This window comes from Homo sapiens, chromosome 4, assembly GCF_000001405.40.
Source record: "Homo sapiens chromosome 4, GRCh38.p14 Primary Assembly".
Taxonomy (NCBI): Eukaryota; Metazoa; Chordata; class Mammalia; order Primates; family Hominidae; genus Homo; species Homo sapiens.
The window spans coordinates 184,555,892-184,562,491 of record NC_000004.12 but is presented as its reverse complement, the minus strand read 5'-3'; the positions used below and the strand labels follow the sequence as shown (position 1 = coordinate 184,562,491).

Sequence of the window (6,600 nt, the reverse complement as noted above, 5' to 3'; positions counted from 1 at the left end):
AGGCAGAACCCTTCTATTATATGAAGCTCAATGTTTTCTTGTTTTCATCTTGTTCTGCATACACCTATTTGCAAATGGGTTTTGAAGCTACTTTAAAACTTTTTGTAGCCAGGCGCCGTGGCTGACGCCTGTGATCCCAGCATTTTAGGAGGCCGAGGTGGGCGGACCGCCTGAGCTCAGGAGTTTGACACCATCCTGGCCAACATGGTGAAACCCTGTCTCTACTAAAAACACAGAAAATTAGCCAGGCGTGGTGGCATGCACCTGTAATCGCAGCTACTCAGGAGGCTGAGGCAGGAGAATCGCTTGAACCCGGGAGAGGAAGGTTGCGGTAAGCCAAGATTGCGTCACTGCACTCCAGCCTGGGTGACAGAGCGAGACTTTGTCTCTAAATAAATAAATAAATAATCAACTTTTTGTTTACTTTTAAGATTTCAGAGCTTAGCTGTTGAATAAGGGGTGAGAGAATTCAGCAAGCATTTGGTGAAGACCCACAGCACTGGGGGACACCTAAGGACAACACAAGCAACAGGCAGGAGTTTATGTATATCTAAGTCACTGGACAGATTATAACGTAAGGCAGAAAGTGGAGAGTATTTTAAGAGAAGAGGTACAAAGTGCTGTGGGAACTCTAACGTGGGGAAGATTATATCCTGGGGTTGTGGAAGGATCAGAGGAGTTTCAGGGAAAAAGTTGCATTTCACTAAGGGTCTTGAAAGATGGATATGGTTTTAAATGTTGAAGGCTGGATTTTGAGCTCCTGACCACGTCTGTAGATTGTATTCATACGTATTTTTATGTCTACTGATTTATTCTTAGTGCATTTTTTTTCTTTTTGAGATGGAGTCTCGTTCTGTCACCTAGGCTGGAGTGCAGTGGTGCGATCTCGGTTCACTGCAACCTCCGCCTCCTGGGTTCAAGCAATTCTCCTGCCTCAGCCCCCAAGTAGCTGGGATTACAGGCACCTGCCACCATGCCTGGCTAATTTTTTGTATTTTTAATACAGATGGGGTTTCACCATGTTAGCCAGGATGGTCTCGATCTCCTGACCTCATGATCCACCCGCCTCAGCCTCCCAAAGTGCTTGGATTACAGGCCTGAGCTACTGTGTCCAGCCCATGCATTTTTTTAAGTTAAAGTATTTATTGAGCATCTACTGTATATCATGTGCTGAGATAGGCACCAGCAGTGCAGGGAATATATGGCACAGTCTCTGCCCTCAATAACTTTCACTCTCATACATATGTATTAGGAAATCAATATGTATGTGGATGTAAGATAGTATGATAGACATTGCAACAAAGAATTATATGCTGTAAACCTATTTCTTAGGATTTTAGACTTAAAGGGCTTTCATCCTATTTCCAATAAAACCTACTGCATAACCTTAAAGGGATTCTCAGTTTGAAATCATCATATAAACTACAGTAGCATCTGCTGGTGAAATACCACTTTGTATCTATTAGAATAGTCCACATTATTAGAGCTGTAAAAGGTATTGTCCAGAAATCTCTGAAAACAAGAGAAAGTGTTATGGTAGGTTAATAAGATGACATCTAAACTGTTCTCTTAAAGCTATTGAAGTTCCAAGAATATCTCACAGCACAAAGCTCAAGTGTATGCCAACAACTCCTCATGCCACAAGATGTGACACTCTCCCAACCTCTTTTTGCAAAAGCTTCCAATTCTGTGTCTTATAAGACTACTTTTTATACCCACATATTCACAATTTTGTAGTGCAAGTAAAGACAAGATGGGAAGGGGGCTTCCACTTGTTGATGCCAGCTGCTCTGTGGACCAGGCCGTGCCCATGCATCCGTATTGGTTCTCTTTTATCCCCACGTCAGCCATAACACATAAGGGTTTTTTTTTTTTTTTTTTTTTTTTTGAGATGGAGTCGTGCTCTGTCGCCCAGGCTGTTGTGCAGCGGTGCGATCTCGGCTCACTGCAAGCTCCGCCTCCCGGGTTCACGCCATTCTCCTGCCTCAGCCTCCTGAGTAGCTGGGACTGCAGGCGCCCACCACCACGCCCAGCTAATTTTTTTTTGTGGTTTTAGTAGAGACGGGGTTTCACCATGGTCTCGATCTCCTGACCTCGTGATCCCCCCGCCTCGGCCTCCCTAAGTGCTGGGATTACAGGCGTGAGCCACCGCGCCCGGCCTTACACGTAAGTGTTAACATCTGTTGTACAGACGAGGAAACTGAAACTCTAAGAGAATATGCCATCTACCCAGAGTCATGCAGCTTGTATATGTAAGAGTTGGAATGAAAATTCAATCTGTATGAGTCCCAAGTCCCCTTACACCATGTGATTTCCATTTCATTTTGCAATCATCCTGGCTGGGATATGTCTGCCCTAAAAGATAGTAAGTAGGAATACTTGTCTCTATACCTTAACCTAACATCCATGGGTTTGCTTTTTGTATTTGGAGGTGTCATAACATTATAAAATTTGATTTTATTTGAATAGTGAGTATTATGCTACTCAGTCTAGAGATTTATGATATTCCAGTCTAAACTGGATGATAGCAATGAAGCTTCTTCGAGGTGACCAGTATGATTAATAAGGTAGAAATAAGTTGAATTGCTATGGAGTTGCTACTTCTGAATTTAAAGCTAGTTGAGATCAAGTATATGTTCAAAAAGATCTCTAGGGGTGTGTGTTGAAGACCAGGGCCAGAGGTGCACATGGCGCTGGGAAGACAGAGAATGTCTCTTCCGGGCGGAGGTCGTGGAGGCTTTGATCGAGGTGGTGGAGGTGGCGGTTTCAACCGCGGCAGCAGCAGCAACCGCTTCTGAGGTGCAGGCGGTGGAAATATCAGAGGTGGCGACAGGGGAGGATTTGGATGAGGGGGTGGCCACGGAGGCTTTGACAAAGGCCAAGGCCAAGGACCTCCAGAACGTGCAGTCTTGTTAGGAGAGTTCCTGCATCCCTGTGAAGATGACATAGTTTGTAAACGTACGGCAGATGAAAATAAGGTGTCTTATTTCAATGCTCCTGTTTACTTAGAAAACAAAGAACAAATTGGAAAAGCGGATGAAATATTTGGACAACTTAGAGATTTTTATTTTTCCGTTAAAATGTCAGAAAACGAGAAGGCTTCATCCTTTAAAAAACTCTGGAAGTTTTATATAGACCCATATGAGCTGCTGCCACTGCAGAGGTTTTTACCTCGGCCTCCAGGTGAGAAAGGACCTCCAAGATGTGGTGGCAGGGGAGGCCGAGGAGGAAGAAGGGGAGGTGGCAGAGGCAGTGGCAGAAGCGGTGGTTTTAGAGGTGGAAGAGGAGGTGGTGGTTTCAGAGGGAGAGGACGTTAAGTGAAACAGTTGACAGATATCACCAGTTGCCTTCTGCATTAACCTGCGTGATCTGTTTCTACTATGGATTGGAAACTTGTTTCTCGAGCAAGTCTTGAAGATCTTGGTCATTTTATGACAATGGATCTAAAATGTCAGCATCATGCAAAGTGCCACGGAATAGTGAATTTTGCTCTAAAAGAGCATGAACAAGTCTTTCTAATGTTTTGTACGGTGCCTGGCACTCTGTGGGTGCTTAATAAATGGACAGGAGTTTTCATTAGAAGCATATTTGAATTTTTATTTATTTTATTTTTATTTTTTATTTATTTTGTTATTTTTTGAGACAGGGTCTCGCTCTGTCGCCCAGGCTGGAGTGCAGTGGCGCGATCTCAGCTCACTGCAACTTCCGCCTCCTGGGTTCAAGCAATTCTCCTGCCTCAGCCTCCTGAGTAGCTGGGATTACAGGCACCCGCCACCACGCCCAGCTAATTTTTAGATTTTTAGTAGAGACGGGGTTTCACCATGTTGGTCAGGCTGGTCTCAAACCCCTGACCTCGTGATCCGCCCGCCTCGGCCTCCCAAATTGCTGGGATTACAGGCGTGAGCCACTGCACCGGGCCTGAATTTTTAAAATAAAGTGTTTTATTCCCTTAAAAAAAAGATCTCTATAATCTTCACTTGAATAATACAAACATTTTTTATTTTTTACATATTTATTTATGGAACATAGTTGTAATTTTAAAACAGAATTTTTGTAAATTGTATTAAAATATATTAAAAACATACTACATTATGATCCAATGGAGTTTTTCACGGTAACTCAGTGTTAGTTTAAGATGTGAAATTCAATCAATATAATTCACCATAGAATACAGTATGTCTGTCAGTATAATGCATATTGAAAATGGAAAGGAGTAAATTTATCTTTGTTTTTTAATAAGATGAAATTAAAATTTTAATTAATCTTGGCCGGGCCCAGTGGCTCACACCTGTACTCCCAGCACTTTGGGAGGCTGAAGCAGGCAGATCACGAGGTCAGGGGTTCAAGACCAGCCTGGCCAATATGGCATACCCCGTCTCTACTAAAAATACAAAAATTAGCCGGGCATGGTGGCAGGCGCCTGTAATCCCAGCTGCTCAGGAGGGTGAGGCAGGAGAATCGCTTGAATCTGGGAGGTAGAGGTTGCAGTGAGCCGAGATCATGCCATTGCACTCTAGCCTGGGCGACAAGAGCAAGACTCCGTCTCAAAAAGAAAAAAAAAATTAGTTAATTTCAATGTTTATTTTAGATTCGGGAGGGTACCTATGCAGATTTATTACACTGGTGTATTGTGTGATGCTGAGAGTTGGGGTATGAATGATCCCATCGCCCAGGTAGTAGGCATAGCAACCGATAGTTTTTTAACCCCTGTCCCCCTCTCCCTCCCTTCCCCTCTAGTAGTCCCTGGTGTCTATTGTTGCTAACTTTATGTCCATGAGTACCCACGCATAAGTGAGAACATGCAGTATTTGGTTTTCTCTCCCTGTGTTAGTTCACTTAGGGTGGTGTCTTCTAGCTGCACCCACGTTGCTACAGAGGACATGATTCTTTCTTTTTATGGTTGCATAGTATTCCATGGTGTATATGTGCCACATTTTCTTTTCCCAGTCCACTGTTGATGGGCATTTAGGTGGATTTCATGTCTTTGCTATTGTGAATAGTGCTGCGATGAACATACCAGTGCATGTGTCTTTTTGGCAGAATAGTTTATTTTCCTTTGGATATGTTTATGCAGTAATGGGATTGCTGAGGCAAATGGTAGTTCTGTTTTGAGTTCTTTGGAAAGTCTGAAAACAGCTTTCCACAGTGGCTGAACTAATTTACCATTCCTACCAGCAGTGCATAAGTGTTCCCCTTTCTCCTCCGCCTCACCAGCCTCTGTTATTTTTAGACTTTTTTTTTGAGACGGAGTCTTGCTCTGTCGCCCAGGCTGGAGTGCAGTGGCACGATCTTGGCTCACTGCAACCTCCGCCTCCCGGGTTCAGGCGATTCTCCTGCATCAGCCTCCCAAGTAGCTGGGACTACAGGTGCGTGCCACCACGCCTGGCTAATATTTTGTATTTTTAGTAGAGACGTGGTTTCACTGTGTTAGCCAGGATGGTCTCAATCTCCTGACCTCAGGATCCGCCCGCCTCCACCTCCCAAAGTGCTGGGATTACAGGCGTGAGCCACTGCACCAGGCCTATTTTTTGACTTTTTAATAATAGTCATTGTGACTGGTGTGAGATGGTATCTCACTGTAGTTTGGATTTGCATATTTCTGATGGCTAGTGATATTGAGCATTTCCATGTTTGTTGACTTCTTGTATATTTTCTTTTGAGAAGTGTCTCTGCATGTCTTTTGCCTCCTTTTTAATGGGGTTGCTTTTTGCTTGTTGAATTTAGTTCCCTATAGATTTGGATATTAGACCTTCATCAGATGCATAGTTTGTGAATATTTTCTCCCACTCTGTAGGTTGTCTGTTTACTTTGTTGATAGTTTCTCTTGCTGTGCAGAAGCTCTTTAGTCAGGTCCTGGCTGGGCATGGTGGCTCATGCCTGTAATCCCAGCACTTTGGAAGGCAGAGGTGAGGGGAATGTTTGAGCCCAGGAGTCTGGGACCTGCCTAGGCAACATGGTGAAACCTCATCTCTAAAAAGAAAAAAAAATTAGCCAGGCATGGTGGTGTGCACCTGTAGGGGGGCAAATCACTTGAGCCCGGGAGGCGGAGGTTGCAGTGAGCTGAGATTGTGCCACTGCACTTCAGCCTGGGAGACAGCATGAGACTCCACCCCGCCCTAAAAAGTTTTAATTAGGTCCCACTTACCAATTTTTGTTTTTGTGGCAATTGCTTTGGAGGACTTAGTCACAAATTCTTCCGCAAGGCTGATGTCCAGAATGGTATTTCCTAGGTTTTCTTGAATTCTTATAGTTTGAGGTTTACATTTAAATAATTAATCCATTTTGAGTTAATTTTTTAATATAGTGAAAGGTAGGGGTCCTATTTCATTCTTCTGCATATGACTGGCCAGTTATCCCAGCACCATTTATTGAACAGGGAGTCCTTTCCTCAATGCTTATTTTTGTTGACTTTGTCAAACATCAGAGGGCTGTAGGTGTGTGGATTTATTTCTGGGCTCTTTATGCTGTTACACTGGTCTCTGTTTGCACCAGAACCATGCTGTTTTGGGTACTGTAGGCTTATAGTATAGTTTGAAGTTCAGTAATGTAATGCTTCCAGCTTTGTTCTTTTTGCTTAGGATTGCTTTGGCTAGCTGGGCT

The 6,600-nt window shown here is 43.6% G+C and overlaps 1 pseudogene; it reads left to right on the top strand.

The window, feature by feature from the left end:
* Positions 2,654–3,599, top strand: LOC100129245 (GAR1 ribonucleoprotein homolog (yeast) pseudogene; annotated as a pseudogene).